Source organism: Homo sapiens, chromosome 1 (genome assembly GCF_000001405.40).
Source record: "Homo sapiens chromosome 1, GRCh38.p14 Primary Assembly".
NCBI classification, from domain to species: Eukaryota; Metazoa; Chordata; class Mammalia; order Primates; family Hominidae; genus Homo; species Homo sapiens.
The window spans coordinates 143,406,982-143,425,115 of NC_000001.11; the positions used below are offsets into that span (position 1 = coordinate 143,406,982).

At 47.3% G+C, this 18,134-nt stretch overlaps 2 long non-coding RNA genes across 5 annotated transcripts in view, besides 1 other annotated feature; both read right to left on the minus strand.

Annotated features, from left to right (window-relative positions):
• Positions 1–17,781, minus strand: part of LOC107985200 (uncharacterized) — a 42,281-nt gene extending 24,500 nt beyond the window's left edge. Inside the window, exons 1-2 of one of the 4 annotated variants that reach the window (XR_001738207.2) lie at positions 17,631–17,752; positions 13,092–13,226 (exon numbers count right to left, since the gene is read on the minus strand). This is a non-coding gene — a long non-coding RNA (uncharacterized LOC107985200). Of the gene's footprint in view, positions 1–13,091; positions 13,227–17,630 lie in introns of all 4 variants that reach the window. The other 3 variants (XR_007066536.1, XR_007066535.1, XR_001738208.2) reach the window with 3 other exon arrangements.
• LOC107985201 (uncharacterized) lies at positions 283–12,722 on the minus strand. Its single transcript, XR_001738209.2, has 2 exons — positions 12,644–12,722; positions 283–1,115 (listed from the first exon to the last, which is right to left on the minus strand). It is a non-coding gene; the product is annotated as an uncharacterized LOC107985201 (long non-coding RNA).
• Positions 15,633–15,927: a silencer, noted in NCBI's record as "tiled region #154 duplicate 1; K562 Repressive non-DNase unmatched - State 20:ReprD". NCBI's record gives its function as "represses a minimal TATA promoter and a strong SV40 promoter by Sharpr-MPRA in K562 cells {active_cell/tissue: K562}" and the evidence as "EXISTENCE:reporter gene assay evidence [ECO:0000049][PMID:27701403]".
• Positions 17,782–18,134: the final 353 nt, after the last annotated feature.

The window sequence follows — 18,134 nt, forward strand, 5'->3', positions numbered from 1 at the left end:
CATGGCAACAGGGCTCACCTCCTCTGTCTCATACCTCTCCCTCCCTTGGCCACTATTGCTACAGATATCCTGACCCTTTTACCTCTTTATCAAATAAGCCCACTCTGCCCCAGGGCCTTTGCATGGGCTTACTTTCCTCCAAGAATAATTTACTCCTGATATTTGCCTGACTAAATCCTTCTCACCTTTCTGATTGCAAAGAGGCTTCCTTGACAACTCATTCTGAAGCAGCTTTTCCCTCCAGTCTAGCTACTTTCTCTTTCGTTATTCTGTTTGATTTTATTTATAGCACTTAGCACTGTATGACATTGTTTATTTTGAAATTGTTTATTTCTCTCTCCTCAATAATATAAGCCCAAAAAAGACAAGGAATATGTTTTTGATTCTGTTTCTATCCCCGGGCCCTAGAATAGGGTCTGGGAGATAGTTGCAGCAGAATCCCTAGCTGAAATGGCAATCTTGTGCTAACTGGAAAAAAAGAGCTCCCTTGCCCCCATCCCTGTTTTTTTTTTTTTTTTTTTTTTTTTTTTTAGATGGAATCTCCCTCTGTTACCCAGGCTGGAGTGCAGTGGTGTGATTTCGAAGAGAGCCCTTTCTTGATATACTTTGTCATCTTCTGCTAGAAGTTTTTTATACTCATTATACAAACCCACCCTATCTGTTACTTACACACCCTGTATGGCCCTGCTTCCACCCCAGCAAAAATGCTTGTGGAATGAATGAATGGGTTGGTGGAAGTCAGGGGGACTGGAACATCTGAAAACAAATGTCAGTGTGTGTGGCCAGCGTCTGTGCACCTTTCTTGATTGATTGAATCTTCTGTGCATTGATTTCATGGTATTGGGCACAGAATCCCCTTTTTTGCTCATTACCAACAAAGATTTGTCAAGCACCCACTCACTGTGTTCACTTGGGGAATTCAGACATGAACAAGACACAATTTCTTGATTTAAGAAGCTGAGATTCTAGAAGGCCAGGCAGTGATGTGAAAGATGGTGCATTCCAGGGTCATAATGGCTACACTAGGAGCCAGCCCAGGGCTCTCCTGGAGCACAGGACACCTGTTCAGTGCAGAGGACTCAGTAAGTCTTTCTGGAGAAGTGATTGAGCTGGCTCTGCAGGATGGAGAGGTTTGAAAATTGCTAAGTGCTTTGTACAACTTATAAAAATCCACGTTGCCCAGTTTCCAAGCAGTCTCATGTTCAGTAGACAAAAGGCAATTTTCAAACTGAAATTCTTTACTTGCATTTCTATTTCTATTTTCCTTCCTTCCTTTCTTCCTTCCTTCCTTCCTTCTTTCCTTCCCCCACCCCACCCCCTGAGTCTTGCTCTGTTGTCCAGCAGACTGGAGTGCAGTGGTGTGATCTCGGCTCACTGCAACCTCCAACTCCTGGGTTTGAGTAATTCTCCTGCCTCAGCCACCTCTCTATCTTTCTGTAGCTGGGATTACAGACACATGCCACCATGCCTGGCTAACCCAGATGCGGTTTCACCATGTTGGCCAGGCTCTTCTTGAACTCCTGACTTCAAGTGATCCACCTGCCTCTGCCTCCCAAAGTACTGGGATTACAGGTGTGGGTCACCGTGCCCGGCCCTTTACTTGCATTTCTTAAGTTGTGTGAAGTCAGTAGGGATTGTTCTCTAGAATTCCCTTTTACTCTCCTATCCACATTCCCCTAGATTGTAGTTCCCTCACCTCTTTCACACAATCTTACCTGCAAAACTCCACCCACAGCTTTCAATACCTCTCCCACTTCTCTGCTCTTTATTGTGAAGACAAGCACAGTTTCTTCCTTTTGGGACCATTCCTCCCTGCTCTGGCTTTTCAGGTCTAATAATGTATCCATCCTCTATCACAAAAGCCAAGCTAGAATCCTCTTTGGAGCACAGCCCAGGTCAAGAAACTGCATAGATACAGCAGAGGGAGAAACGAGGTTCAGAACACTCATGCATTAACTGTTTTGATCTCATCACAGTTTCTTCCTTTTTTTTTTTTTCTGAGGTGGAGTCTCGCTCTGTCACCCAGGCTGGAGTGCAGTGGTGCCATCTTGGCTCACTGCAACCTCTGCCTCCCACACGCCACCATGCCTGGGTAATTTTTGTATTTTTAGTAGAGACAGAGTTTCACCATGTTGGCGAGGATGGTCTCAATCTCCTGACTTCATGATCTACCTGCCTCGGCCTCCCAAAGTGCTGGGATTACAGGCCTGAGCCATCACACCTGGCTGGTCTCATCACACTTTCTAAACGACTATTATTAACTCATTTCCCAGATGAGAAAACTGAAGCTCAGAAAGATCAAGCGACCTGCCCAATATCCCAAAGCTATTAAGTGCCTATTCTTCCTGCCTGCCATACTTCCCTTCCCTCTGTCTTCCCCTTTGCCTACTTAACTGTGATTCAACCCAAAGAGAAATTTCCCCAGGAAAGCCTTTCCTAAACATCTTGCCTTGGCCAACCTCCCCAACTACTGTACACTTCGATAAGGCTGTGAACTTTCCCTTCACAGCCCTTGTCACATTCGTAATTGTTCATTTCCTTGGATTATTCCTGGGTTAAAGTCTATCTAGACTTTACGCATTTTTTTTTTTTTTTTTGAGATGGAGTCTGGCTCTGTCGCCCAGCCTGGAGTGCGGTGGTGTGATCTTGGCTCACTGCAAGCTCCGCTTCCTGGGTTCACACCATTCTCCTGCCTCAGCCTCCAAAGTAGCTGGGACTATAGGCGCCTGCCACCATGCTCAGCTAATTTTTTGTATTTTTGTAGAGAGGGAGTTTCACTGTGTTAGCCGGGATGATCTCAATCTCCTGACCTCATGATCCACCCGCCTCAGCCTCCCAGAGTGCTGCGATTATAGGCATGAGCCACTCTGCACAGCCTAGACTTCAAGCTTTTAGAATAGCGTCTCTCTCTCTCTCTCTCTCTTTCTCTGTCTCCCTCCCATTGTATAACCAGTGAGTAAAACAACATCTGGGACATGTCAGTACTTGCTAAATATTTACTGAATAAAAGAATGAATGACTGAAATTCAAACCCGTGTCTCCAAAATCCAAGTTCTTGTCTGACATCATGACTTGTTGTTCTCCAGGAGAACAGGAGACGTCTCTCTCTGTCTCCTAGGCTGAGATTGCAGTGGTGCAATCTCAGTTCACTGTACCCTCTGCCTCCTGGGCCCAAGTGATCCTCCCACCTCAGTCTCCCAAGTAGCTGAGATCATAGGCATGGACCACCATGCCTGGCTAATTTTTGTATTTTTAGTAGAGACAGGGTTTCGCCATGTTGGCCAGGCTGGTCTTGAGCTCCTGGCCTCAAGTGATCCACCTGCCTTGGCCTCCCCAAGTGCTAAGATTACAGGCACGAGCCACCATGCACAGCCATGCATATCTCCTTTATGTAACTTAACAACATCTGCAACGTTTGTTTGTGTGAGTTTTTTTATTCTGCCTGCATTTGTGTATGTGAGTCTTTTCCTATGGATTTTTCCCACCATGGCTGTAAGCACCATGAGAGTGAGGAAAATAGCTGTTTTGCTTTATCATATTTTCTCTGGTGCCTAACAAAGTACCTGGAACACAAGAGAGTAACTAATGGGATAAATACACGCATTAATGGGATTTGTCAATGAAGGGAAAAATTTAGTGCATTAGCTTGAATGAGGAGGTAGGTCCTACTGGCCTCTTGGGTAGAGGCCAGGGCTGCCACTAAACATTCTACAATATACAGGACAGCCTCCCACACCAAAAACTATACAGCTTAAAATGTCGATAGTGCTGAGGTTGAGAAATCCTGGTTTGACATATTATTCCTGTGTTAAAATTAATATATGTAAAACAATTTCCTCAGTTGTTAACATGGCATTTTTATCAAGCAATTTTGTTTTCTCTGAAATATACCTCAGATTGTTTTTAGTTTTTCCAGGGGAAACTATTCATCTTTTACTAGAGAAAAGAATATGGCAAACAGTGAATCTGTGTTTCAGGAAGGGTAACGTCGTTTTTCTTTTAATTTCCCTTTTGAAGCTCTCGGGGTGCTACCAACATCTTGGAAATCTGGATAATTTGAGTATTACTAAGGGAATAGTTTCATTCTACATGCTACAAATGTTTAATCATTTTATTTATCTAAAGCTCCTTTCTTGGCCAGGTGCGGTGGCTCATGCCTGTAATCCCAGCACTTTGGGAGGCTGAGGCAGGTGGATCACCTGAGGTCAGGAGTTGGAGACCAGCCTAGCCAAAATGGCAAAACCCTGTCTCTACTAAAAAAGTATAAAAATTAACTGTGTGTGGTGGTGCGTGCCTGTAATCTCAGCTACTTGGGAGGCTGAGGCAGGAGAATTGCTTGAACCCAGGAGGTGGAGGTTGCAGTGAGCTGAGTTTTCGCCACTGCACTCCATCCTGGGCAACAGAGCAGGACTTCTTCTCAAAATGAATGAATGAATGAAAGAAGGAGAGGGAAAGGAAGCTCCTTTCTCTTCTATTCCCAGTATTGCACCCCAAAAATAAGTAATCCATAAACCCCCAATGTATATTTCTGTTTTCTTAACTAGTTCTGAACAAAATGTTCAGTGTTGGCTGGGCATGGTGGCTCATGCCTGTAATCCTAGCACTTTGGGAGGCTGAGGCTGAGGTCAGGAGTTTGAAACCAGCCTGGCCAATGTGGTGAAACCCCCTCTCTACTAAAAATACAAAAATTAGCTTGGCGTGGTGACGTGTGCCCGTAATCCCAGCTACTCAAGAGGCTGAGGCAGGAGAATCACTTGAATCCTGGAGGCAGAGATTGCAGTGAGCCGAGATCGTTCCACTGCACTCCCGCCTAAAACTCCATCTCAAAAAAAAGCAGGTGTTTTACTCTTAAAATAAGACATTAAAAAAATACTTCTGTTGTCTCCCCTCTTAGAACTGGCAATCTCTTCCTTCTCCACCCTCATCCCCTGCTGTAATTCTATATTGAAATATCATTGTATTTTGTGCCAAATGTCTTTGTATAAAACCAACTTAGTTCTGTGAGAAGAGTTGTACGTTTTTAATATTTTTGTTCTTTTTGTAGACTGCAGGAACAAAAATAGCCTTCCTATAGTAAGGTGGCAATTCACATTAAGAATGTAGATAAGCAAATTTAAACTTTTAAATGTAATTTGTCTAAAAAAATTGAAAAACAGTGTATAGTAAAAATCTCTCTTCCAACCAACGGAAAGTACTTTTATGTAAGATCCTTTAAGTTACTGACTTGAATCTTTACGTAAGGTAATTTGCTAGTATCTATTTTATAAATAATGTTATTTAATACTGTTTTATTTTCTATAGAATCCTGGTGTTTTTCCATGTAAATTTTTAAAAATTCTTAAAGTATGTATCCCTCATTTTCCCCTATAGTTGTTTGCTTCTACTTCTGTTTTTAAGAGATAGCATCTCAGTTGTTTAAGCTGGAATGCAGTAGCATGATCATGGCTTACTGCAACCTTGACTTCTTAGGCTCAAGCAGTCCTCCTGTCTCAGCCTCTAGAGTAGCTGGGATCACAAATGCATGCCACCATACCTGGCTAACTTTTCTTTTCTTTTCTTTTTTATTTTTTTGAGATGGAGTCTCACACTATCACCGGGCTGGAATGCAGTGGCGTGATCTCAGCTCACTGCAACCTCTGCCTCCCAGGTTCAAGTGATTCTCCTGCCTCAACCTTCCAAGTAGCTGGGATTACAGGTGCCCACCACCATGCCCAGTGAATTTTTTGTATTTTTTTTGATAGAGATGGGGTTTCACCATGTTGGCCTGGCTGGTCTCGAACTCTTGACCTTGTGATTTGCCCACCTCGGCCTCCCAAAGTGTTGGGACTACAAGTGTGATCCATCACACCCGGCCAACTTTTCTTTTTTTTTTTTTTTAAGAGACAGGGTCTTGCTCTGTTGTCCAGGTTGGTCTCAATTCCTGGGCCCAAGCAATTCTCCCACCTGGGCCTGCCAAGGTGCTAGTATTATAGGCGTGAGCCACTGCACCCAGCCCTTTATAGTTTCTTTCTTTTTTTTGAGATGAAGTTTCCCTCTGTCACCAGGCTGGAGTGCAGTGGTGCGATCTCGGCTTACTGCAACCTCTGCCTCCCTGGTTCAAGCGACTCTCCTGCCTCAGCCTCCCGAGTAGCTGGGACTACAGACGTGTGCCACCACGCCCTGCTAATTTTTGTAGTTTTAGTAGAGACGGGGTTTCGCCATGTTGACTAGGATGGTCTCAATCTTTTGACCTCGTGATCCACCCGCCTCGGCCTCCCAAAGTGCTGGCATTACAAGCGTGAGCCACTGTGCCCAGCCAGCTCTTTATAGTTTAAGAGGAAGGATAAACCTTAAGAGATCACAACACTATATTTGTGTCAGGGATCCACAAGACTGCCTCCATGTTTGGAGATTTGCTATAAGGACTCATGGGATCAGCTTAGGGTTGTAATGGCTAAGATTTATTACTGTAACATAGTATGGATATATAGTAGAAAGAACTCAATGGCAAAAGACACTGACAGAGTCTGGAAAAATCCATGTACCGGCTTCCTTATGTGCTGTGCCTTCCATGAGGATCACACAGACTACCTTCTTTCCCCCTTAATGAAAATACAACAACCTATGTGACTTCCCAAGAAACACAGGTTTTATCTCGGCTGGGTCACATATGTGTACTCTGCCTAGCATGTGTGAAATTTCCAGACTCACAAAAAGAATAGCAGGATAAGCCACATTATTTCCATAGTCTAGATACAGTAAACCATGATTACCAGTTATGGAACCCTCTTGAAATTCAAGTCCTCAGAAGCCAGCCTAGGACCAACTGTGCAGACAGACAGACCCTCCTTCACAGGATAATATAATAGTCTCAGATCTGCTTTGTTAATTTTTGTTTGCATAGAGTTTTATAATTGGAAGATGTCTCAAATGCTACATATTTCTGTCTAATGGACTTTAGTAAGAGTGTTGTATAGTATACAACATGGAATTATTCTCCATTATAGGCAGGCTGTGATAAGTGTTCTAATGTTTATACAAAAGAACTCTGTAACTTTGAGCAGAGTAAAGAGAGTGTTAACGATACTTTTGACTGCAAATAGTGGAAAAATGTTGTGTTTAACTCTGAAATATGCTTTGCCTGATATTAGTATTTCTACTCTAGCTTTCTCTTGACTAGCGTAAGCATGGTATATATTATTCCATTCTTTTATTTTAACCTGTTTGCATCTTTGTATTTAACTTGTGTTTCTTGAAGGCGATAGTTTTATTTCTCTGATAAAAACATATAAGAAGACAATCACATTAAATGTATATGGTCTAAAACCTCTGCTTTTTAATTGGGGGTATTTAGACCATGTACATTTAATATGATTGTCTTCTTATGTTTTCTATTTATCTCTATCTGTTCCTTGCATTTTTCTTGCATCCCCCACCTGCCAAGATGGGGTCTTGCTCTGTCACCCAAGCTAGAGTGCAGTGGTGTGATCATACCTTACTGCAGCCTTGACCTGCTAGGCTCAAGTGATCTACCTCAGCCTCCCAATAGTGGAGACCACAGTTGTGCACCATCATACCCGGCTACTTTATTTTTTTATATATGGGGTCTCACTATGTTGTCCAGGCTGGTCTCATACTCCTGAGCTCAAGTGAGTCTCCTGCCTTGGCCACCCAGAGTGCTGGGATTACAGGTGTGAGCCATTGCACCTGGTCTTCTTGCATGCTTTTACTTTATTTATTTATTTTTTTTTTTTGAGAGAGAGAGTCTCGCTCTGTTGCCAGGCTGGAGTGCAGTGGCGCTATCTTGGTTCACTAGAGTCTCCGCCTCCTGGGTTCAAGCGATTCTCCTGCCTCAGTCTCCTGAGTAGCTGGGATTACAGGTGTGCACCACCACACCCAGCTAATTTTTGTATTTTTAGTAGAGACGGGGTTTCACCATGTTGGCCAAGATGGTCTCGATCTCCTGACTTTGTGATCCGCTTACCCTGGCCTCCCAAAGTGCTGGGATTACAGGCGTGAGCCACCGTGCCCAGCTTACATTATTTATTATGATTCCAGTTTGCCTCTTTTTAATACTTTTACTTATTTTTAAAAATTATTTTTGTGGTTCCTTTAAGATTATAGTGCACATTTAGAGAGGTCAAGTAATATTGTACACTTCATCTATAATAAAAGCATTCCTTCATTTACTTTCTTTTCCTCCCTCCTGCACTTTGTGCTATTGCTGCCATGCATTTGACTTTTACATATGTTATAAACTCTGTAACATTTTGCTGTTTTTTTATTAAACATGTATCTCTTAGAGATTTAAATAATAAAAAATTTAAAAGATGTTTGCTCATATAGTTACCACTTTGGTGCTCTTTATTCCTTCGTATTGGTCCAGATTTTCATCTGACATCATTTTGTTTCTGAAGAATATCCTTTAACATTTCTTGCAGTGAAGGTCTCCTGGTGATGAATTATTTCATTATTTATGTTTCTGGTGTGTCTTTATTTCACCTTCATTTTTGAAAGATATTTTTGCTAGGCATAGAATTCTAGTTGGCCTTTTTTCTTCTAGAACTTTAGAGATGTACTGCTGTCTTCTCACTTGCATTGTTTCTCAAAAGAAATCTGATGTTGTTCTTATCTTTGTTCTTCTATAGGTAACATGTCTTTTTATACACCTGCTATTAATAATGTTTCCTTGATTTTGAACAATTTGATTATGTTATCCCTTAGTGTAATTTTCTTCATGTTTCTTGTGCTTGGGGTTTGCTGAGTTTCTTGGATCCGTGAGTTAATAGGTCTTGTTATGGCTAGAACATTTTCAGCAGTTGTTTCTTCAAGTATTTTTTTTCTCTTTCTTTTTTTTCTCCTTTGGGGACTCCAGTTACCTGCATATTATTAGGCCATTTGAAGTTGCCTGACTGCTCACTGATGCTTTTTAAAAATCACTTTTTAACATTTTTTTTTCTTTTTGTACTTTAGCTAGTGTCTGTTCTTGTATCTTCAAGTTTGCTAATCTTTTCTTCTGCAGTTTCTAATCTGCCTTAGTTCATCCAATGTAATTTTCATCTCAAATGTTTTTGTCTTTGAAAGTTTGATTTTGGCTTTTCTTGTTTATCTCCCATGTCTCTATTTAATGTTTTGATTATATGAGATACATGTATAAAAACAGTTTTAATGTCCTCCTCTGCTAATTTTAACATCTATTTAAGTTCTGGGTCAGTTTTGATTGATTATTTTCAGTTTGCATCATGATTGTCTGCTGCTTTTTATGCCTGGTAATCCTTATTTAGTTGTAAAATTTACCGACAAAAGCAAAGTGACAAAAGGAGATAGGAAATATCATGAAAACAATTTCTCTAAAAAAAAAAAAACTTATGATGCCTAATCCCCTGAATAAAGACATTTAAGCCTTTCTTGCTTCATATTTAGACAAAAATCTTCCTGCTTATGTTCCTATTTCATCTCTGAAAACAGTGTAAGCAACCAGTTGTCCGAGGCACCATTCTTGGACAGTAATAATGTGCTGTCCTTCGTATATGAAGATGTAATTACTGTAGTAGCAACAAAAACCTAAGCTTTTGGATTGGATTCTGTTTTGGTTTTATTTTCTTCTACCACTACAATAAATGACACATAATCTTTCACTCTTAACAATAAATGGTGCATAATTTTAAGACAATTATGTGGAATTCAGAGAGAAATTCATGCTCATGGAACACGATTTATATTCTGTGAAGTATTAACAATGACTTAATGAATGAACACGTAATCTGATTTAACTAACACCATCTTATTAATTGATATTACATACACAGATCAAAATTTTGTAATATATTGAACAGGACTTAACAGAAAACTACATATATGTAAGTGATTAATAATCTTTCAATACGATGATGAAGCCAACAGAAAACTATAAAAACTATATTTGAGAAAGATGGAAAGTGGTAATAGGAGTATATATGTTCTCCAACTTCTAAATTAGAGAAAATCTTACGAGTCAGCAAGTTAACACTTAATTTGATTATTTTTGATGTTACCAGCCCCAGAAATAGCATTCTGAAACAGATTACAGGCTTTCTTCTTTCTATTTGTTGATACATCAACTACCACAACTCACCTTTCATTTTGTTGCTAAATTTTCAGAATAAAGTGTGTGTGTGTGTTAAAATTCTCCTGCTAAAATAATCTTTCTATGTTCTTACATATTTAGGTTTGGAATATGGTTCATGATGGCAGAATTGTCCAGGTCAATATAGTAAAATACTCTGACCAAGACAGTAGGACCCAGACTCAAGCTGGGGAAGAGATAAATAAGCTCAGTTAAAAAGAAAAAGAGGGCCAGGAATGGTGGCTCACACCTGTAATCCCAGCACTTTGGGAGGCCAAGGCGGGCAGATCACCTGAGGTCGGGAGTTCAAGACCAGGCTGACCAACATGGAGAAACCCTGTCTCTACTAAAAAATACAAAATCAGCTGGGTGTGGTGGTGCATGCCTGTAATCCCAGCTACTCGGGAGGCTGAGGCAGGAGAATCGCATGAACCCGGGAAGTGGAGGTTGCGGTGAGCCAAGATCATGCCACTGCACTCCAGCCTGGGCAACAAGAGCAAGACTGTCTCAAAAAAAAAAAAAAAAGAAAGAAAGAAAGAAAAAGAAAAAGAGGTTGGGCATAATGTCTCAAGCCTGTAATCTTATCACTTTGGGAGGTCAAGGCAGGAAGATGGCTTGAGCCCAGGAGTTCAAGACTAGCCTGGGCAACACACTGAGAATCCATGTCTACAAAAAACTAAATAACTTAGTGGAGCAGGGTGGTGCACACCTGCAGTCCCAGCTACTTGGCTGGGAGGCTGAAGTGGGCAGATCACTTGAGCCAGAGAGGTTGAGGCTACAGTGAGTCATGTTTCTACAACTGCACTTCAACCTGGGCTACAGAGCGAAATCTTGCCTTAAAAAAGAAAGAAAAGAAAAAGAAAAAAGAGAAGAAGAAAAGAAGAAAGAAAAGAAACTTGCTGCATAGACATGACCATATTCATTTGAAAGCAAGTTAGTAAATATGTATCCTGAAAAGATAGTTTAGAAAAGAAACTTACAGGCCATGACCAGAGTGATTATAAAACATTCTCTTAACAGTTAGCAGGTGGAATAAAAAGTGTATTCTTTAAAATGATTTCATTACTAGTAAATAGTTCTATAAGGAAAAGTAGGGGGAAAAAGGCAAAGAAATATGAAACTAAGTCAATGAAAAGCAAATAGGCTATGATCACACATCTAAAGGCCATGAACATGGCAAAGAGTATTTTAAAGAATCTAAAAAGTGTACTTTGAATTTTAAAGTATTTTAAGAGATTAATTTTATAAAAGGAAAAACAGTGTTATCACGCAGAAGGACCATATTTAGTATAATCAAAAGTTTAAGAAATTGGCCAGGAGTGGTGGCTCACACCAGTAATATCAGCATTTTGGGAGGCCGAGGCGGGCGGATCGGATCACCTGAGGTCAGGAGTTCAAGATCAGCCTCGCTGACATGGCAAAACACCACCTCTGCTAAAAGCACAAAAATTAGCCAGGTGTGGTGACGCACACGGGTAATCACAGCTTCTTGGGAGGCTGAGGCATGAGAATTGCTTGAATCTGGGAGGCAGAGGTTGCAGTGAGCCAAGATCATGTCACTGCACTCCCGCCTGGGCAATAGAGCAAGATTCTGTCTCAATCAAAAAAAAAAAAAAGAGTTTAAGAAATTAAGGAAAGCTGAGTGTAATGAAACCTTTTCAAGGGTAGTAGTGGTATAGCTCAAACCTGGTTTGAATTCCAGCTTTGTCACTTACTGGGTAAGTAAGTAGCAGCCTTAAGCCCAACTGGTGTTTGCTATTTGCACGTATTTTCATAAATAAAAGTGGTCTGTAATGTTTTCACAGTGTTGTCAAACTTCAAGATTATTAAAACTATTAATATCCTGTTTAATGTTTAAGAATAAATAACTATTTGATATCTTTTAACTACTGTCCTATCACTGACTTTTAAGACTCTTACTGACAATTTTGTGATTTTTTCATGTAATCATCCTTTATATCTTACTTAGCAAGTTCTCTATTAGACATATGTCTGCTGAATGAAACTTAATTACAGATATTTTTGAACATTTATTAAATTTAAATTATATTTGTACTTGTAAGAAATATTTAAACAATGCTTTGTTTTTCTAAAATAAAAGAAAACCAATAGCACAAACCTTCATTTTCTAAGTGTGTCAAGTTGTTTTGTTTTTTTTATTTGCTTGTGTGTTTGTTTTTTGAGACTGAGTCTCCCTCTGTCGCCAGGCTGGAGTGCAGGGTGCGAGCTCGGCTCACTGCAACCTCCAACTTGCTGGTTCAAGTGATTCTCCTGCCTCAGCCTCCCAAGTAGCTGGAATTACAGGCATGTGCCCCTGCGCTCGGCTAATTTTTTTTTTTTTTTTTTTTGTATTTTTAGTATAGACCAAGTTTCACCACGTTGGCCAGGATGGTCTCCTCCTGACCTCGTGATCCACCCGCCTCGGCCTCCCAAAGTGCTGGGATTACAGGTGTGAGCCACTGTGCCTGGCCTATTTTAACTGTTTTATGTCTTCTGGTTTCGTGTGACAATGAAATAAGTTAATATTTCCTGCCTGCACCAACCACATTTAGGCTCTACCTTAATTGTTGATGAGGTCTTGGAGCCTCCCTTCTGCTCCCAGAGGCTTTTCTTGCTCATGTCTCCAGCCACAATATCCCGGGGGCAGCAGAAGGGTATGTCACAAGGGCAGACCCCTGGATCTTGGGGAGTAGAAGCCCTGGGCCCTTCTCTCCTGCCTTGCCTTACCTGGCCAGGGGGCCTGGGATCTGCCTACCAAAACTTTTTCTGTGCGATCCCAGTGGAAGAAGCAGGGAAAGGAATAAAGGTGCCATCCACCTCCACTCGGACAACACAGCCTTCTACACCAGCAAGGGTGAACCCAACCCTACTGCAATACCTCAGGGTTCTGTCTGCCCACATTCATCCTGGACAGTCCCACGCTTGTCTTAACAAGGAAACCTGGCCTGCTACTAAACTCCCCAGTGCTGGCTCTGCAGCCCAGCCTTGCCCCTGGAGGGGACCTTACCTTGCAGGACGGAGTCTTGGCCGCAGACTGAGCCTGTACCTCACCCGTCTCCCACCAACTCTTGGTACTGGATGCAGCCATGCTGGGCAGCTCTATGGAGGCCTGGCGGGCTAGCTTGGGGGTCTGGCCAGCAGTCTGCAGAGGAGGAAAAGCATCAGGATTACCTTAGTGGACAGCCACCGTGGTCACATCAGAGGGTCACACTGGGCAACCCTCTGCTTTGTGTTTGTGTTTTCCCTGGGAGCGATTTCCCAATGCAGCCCTAGAGTGGGGATCACTGGAAAGATGTGCCTTCCTCCATTCAATGCAATTGTGAGACACCTCCCTTTCCTGAAGAGCATCAGGGAGATGATGGCGCACAAGACAGATGTGGGTCTGCCTCCATGCTGCTCATGGGGTAGGGCTGGGGGACCATGGGATGGATGGAGGGACATTGAATGGATGGAGGGACAGTGGTTAAATTGCAGAGTATTGGTTGGATGGAGGAGCATTGATTAGATGGAGGACTATTGGTTGTATAGAAAGGTGTTGATGAAGGAATATTGATTGGATGGAGGAGTACTGATTATATGAGGGAGTATTTGTTAGATGGAGGGGCACTGATTGAATGCAGTAGTAGCCACCTGGCTGGGGGCTGCTGGGCCTCGTTCCACGTGGGGAGGCAGAGCCTGGGGTGCAGGGGCCCTCATGCTCACTCACGCCCCCACTCACGACCCAGCCCCTCCAAATGGAGGGCGGCGCAGAGCTGGGGCAGAGTATTGAGGAGGTGGAGGGTTTCCATGGAGGAGAAGCCTGGCCATGTTGCTCCCCATGTTCCCATGTCCCAGCCCCTCCATGTGAGCAAGGTCTCAGCTGGGGTGTGTGTCCTTGGGCCTGGGGCATGAGATGGAGCCCAAGCTCCTCCTTGGACCTGGGCTTCCAATGGGTCCAGGGCCCTCACTCCAGCTCCACAGACCCCCTCCACCAAGCCATAGGGGAGGCGTGGCTTGGAAGCACACATTGGCACAGAGACCCCAGAAGCCCGTGTGCACACGTTTCCTTAGGTCCACCCCTAAGGGCAACGAGTCCGGGCCCCAACAGCCCCATAAAGGCCCTCACTCTGCTCACAGCTCATGCCCAACACATGGAGTGCGGCCGGGCGCGGGACTCCCTAGGCCTGGGGCACATGCAGGTGCACACCCAACTCACACACATTCTCCACGAGCCCACGCTCCGGCCACACAGGCACACATGCCCGCACCCCATGCACATACAAATATGCACGTGCTCACACACGGGAACCCTTGACATCCACGTGCATGTGCAGACAAGCTTGGGAACAAGGGGACCACGTCCCCCTCCAGGGATCCCTTCAGGGTGCTGCAGCCTCACTTTAGTGAGGCAAACATTGACTGTTTGCCTTGCCATAGCCCTGACAATGGCGGTGCCGGCCCTGGCACGAGGCCCAGGTGTGTACTCTGGGAACATCATCCATGCAGAGCTGGGCCCCTGGAGGATCACTCTGACTGAGCTCTCCCTGGCTAGGGGCCTGGGGGACAGAGTGGGGATGCAGAGTAAGCATCTCCTGGTGTCTCCCCTAAAACCCAGTGCTGGGGAGAAGCCCCGCCAGCCCCTGGCCTCTGACCCAGCAGAGCTGAGGACGTGGAGGCCTCTGGGCCCCTTCTCCGTCTCCTCCCTTTCCCCTACCCCAGGATATGAGTCATGCGGGCCCCCTCCCCATGACCTCACCGCATCACTATTCCACAGCCGGGCTCCGTTCTGGGAACTGAAAGGGGGGCAGCTCTCCTGGGGTGGGGTGGGGGCCTCTGGCCTGGGAAAGGCGCCCCTCGGTCAGCGGCCCAGGCCCCTTGGCATACACCACGGAGCTGTCAGGACTCTGGGATGGCCGACCCCGCCCGTGGCCCTGGCTCAGCCCCGTGCAGCTGCGAGGGATTTGGTGTTCCTGCGCAAATGCAGTTAGGCCATTTCCTATGTCTGTTCCGGCTCCGAAGTCCAAGGTTCAGCCCAAGCGGCCAGGCGGTGGGGGGGGGGCTCCATCCACCTCCCACCCCAGCACACCCCCACCACCCTCACAGTCCCAGGCTCCACTTCGGGGCCCGGCCCCCAGCCAGGGACACCAGTATGCACAGAACCCTGAAGGATGCCTCGTTCTGAGTGGAGCTCCCCAAGCTCAGGTCTGTTCCTGTCGGCCTCGTCCACTGCCAACCACCCCCAACTCGGGACACTGGCCCTTCTTCTCCTTCCTCCACAGACCTCCCCACCTCTACCTCCCAGTCCCCACTGAGGGCCTGACAATGCCCATCTTCGGCCCAGCACTCCCAGCTACCCACTGCCGTCCTTCCCCTGCCTGGAAGTGCAGACACTTCCAGAATGGGTGTCCGGCTCGGTCCCCGTCCTGACTCTGCTCCCTACAGGCAGCTCCTGTGGCTGCCCCGCCCAGCTGTCCTGAGCCCAGAGGTCGGCTGGAGAGGGTCAGTCCTCTCTGGGGTCCTGGGGAGTCAGGAGGCTCTGGTGAAGAGCAAGGGCTGCAGGGAGGATGTCGAGGGGAGGAGGAGCTTCTCCTCCAGGCCTGACCACAGGTCTCCTGGACACCACAGGGAGCTGGCGGGAGGACTGGGGAGTTGGGCTGGGCCTTCCACCAGGGTGGTTCAGGACTCCCTGCACAGCACTGAGGTCTCTGGTCCCCTCATTAGCCCAGCCTCCCGTGGGATCATAGACTTGACCCCTCAAGTCACTGCAGAGCCCAAGAGTGGAGAAACACAGCACCGTGTGCCGGGAAAAGGTGCCCACAGGGGCCCTTCATGGCTGAGGCTTCCAGAGGGTAGTGGGACGGCAACCCCGCTCCCCACCAGCCGCCCACCACAGCGTTCATGATACAGCTTCGGAGTGTGGGTCGGGGTCTATCTGGGAAACCAGGGCAAAGGCGGTGGCAGCTGGCAGCACCCACACCCACAGCTGGGGCACTGCTCACATGAGCCCCCATCAGCAGGCCCCTTGGTTGTGCCACAGGCAGGGGTCCTGCCCCAGGGAGGGGGTAGTCCGGGGGAGCTCGAGGGTGTGGCACAGGCCAGCTGTCACTCCTCCCTGGAGAGGCAGCTGGGGACGCAGCTGGGAGGGGAGCCAGGAGCAGAGACAGCCCGGGGCCAGCAGGTGGGTGACAGGTGGGGCAGCGGGAGGGGCATGCGCTGTCCGCCTGGGGCTGGGGTGTAGAGACGGGAACCTGCCCCCCAATGCCTGGTGCTGGCCCAGCCTCCCCCCGGGGTCTCTAGCACCTTCCCAGTTGTGTCTGCACCCTCCTGGGCATGGCGGGGGAGGGTGGGGGTCAACCCCTTTCCTTGTAGTCCCGTGCCAGTGGGCAAGGGAGACGCCCCAGTGAGCAGGAGCCTAGCCTCTCTGCCTGGGGAGGCCAGGTGATGAGCCACCCGGAGTGGGAGGGGGCCTTGAACTTGGGTCTGAAAGATGAGCAGGGGTTTGCTGGGCCGGGTACAGGCAAGAGCTAATGCAGGAAGGCAGAGAGCAGGAGCGCTTAGAGGGAGTGGCTCTGTGCAGCCGGAGTCAGATGGGTGACCCTCACTCAGGAGGAAGCACTGGGACCCTCTCTCCTCACGCTGGGTCCCCCGCCTCCCTCTAGGATCCCCACACCCAGGTCCTTCTGGGCCTCTGCCACACAGATCAGGTCTGGAAGGCTCCCTGGAGGAGGCGGTGCCTAGACTTGGACATAGGCCTGCAGAGCTGGTTTCCCTCACAACCCTGGGAAGACAGAACTCCTCAGCGGGTTGATGTGGAGGAGGGCGGAGCCTCCCTCCAAGGCACCAGTCCAGTGCTGGGGGCGACACAGAGAGCCAGAAGCTGGCGGGGGCGGGAGGCTCTGCCCCCCAAGGGCTTTACATGCCGAAGCCCCATGGCCGAGCTGGGACCCAGGGTCAGCCCAGGCAGGCCGCGAGAAAGGAGACTGTGGACCCCACCCCATCACACAGGGAGGAGGTGCTGTGCCCGCTGGGGGGGCAGCTGCCCCTCTCTGGGCCCTTTGGGTGGGAAGAGGCTTGGTGAGGTAGAAAGCCCAGCCCCAGCCAGCAGCGTTGCCTTCTCACAGTGGCAGCCCTTTGTAACCCCGGGGGGTCCCTGCAGGGCCTCTCCCTGTTTTCTCACCATGGGGCAGCATTTGGGGGTCTCTTGAGGGACCCCCTAGATGCTTCTGCTCAGAGCCCCCAAAGCCAAGGAGCCTCCACTCCTCCGTCTGCAGCCTCCCCTGCCGGTTCTTGCTACCCAGGGTTCAGTGGCCTGGGGGCTGACGGAGGGGGTCGCCTCTGCCAAGGCCCCTCCCGGCGCCTCCCTGGCTCATCCAGCCCACCTTCCTCCCACGCTGGCTCACGCAAAGTGTTCTGGTCACCAGGAGCCCTTCCTGACCAGCCCCGGCCCCTTCTTGGCCTTCGCCCCACCTGGCCTCCCCTGGATCCCTGACCTGGGTGCCGGGCCTGCTGGGTCCAGAGCCCACCCCGCCCTGAACAACCCCGAGCCTCAGCCACCCTCAATTCTTACCCTTTCACAGCTGGGGAGTGGAGTCTGGGCCTGAGGTCTCCTGTGCGCCTCTGGGCGCCTGCGCCCGCGCTGTGCCTTTGCGAGGGCGGAGCTGCGTTGTGCTCAGCACAGACTCGGAGAGCATCGCGAGGGCGGAGCTGAGTTCTCCTGTGCACAGACTTCGGAGATACAGCGAAGGCGGAGCAGTGTTCTCCTTGGCACAGACCCGGGCGGGCCGGGGGCACCGCGAGGGCGGAGCTGCATTCTGCTCAGCACAGACCCGGGGGACACCGCGAAGGCAGAGCAGCGTTCTCCTCAGCACGGACCTTGGGGGCACTGCCTCGCTTTGGGACAACTCGGGGCCGCATCGACGGTGAATAAAATCCTTCCTGTTTGCAGCCCTGAATAATCAGGGTCAGAAACCAGATAGAAGGGTTCAGTGTGGAAAACGGGAAACCAAAAGCCCCTCTGAATCCTGCCCACCGAGGTTCTCCCCAGCCAAGGTGAGGCGGCCGCAGTGCGAGA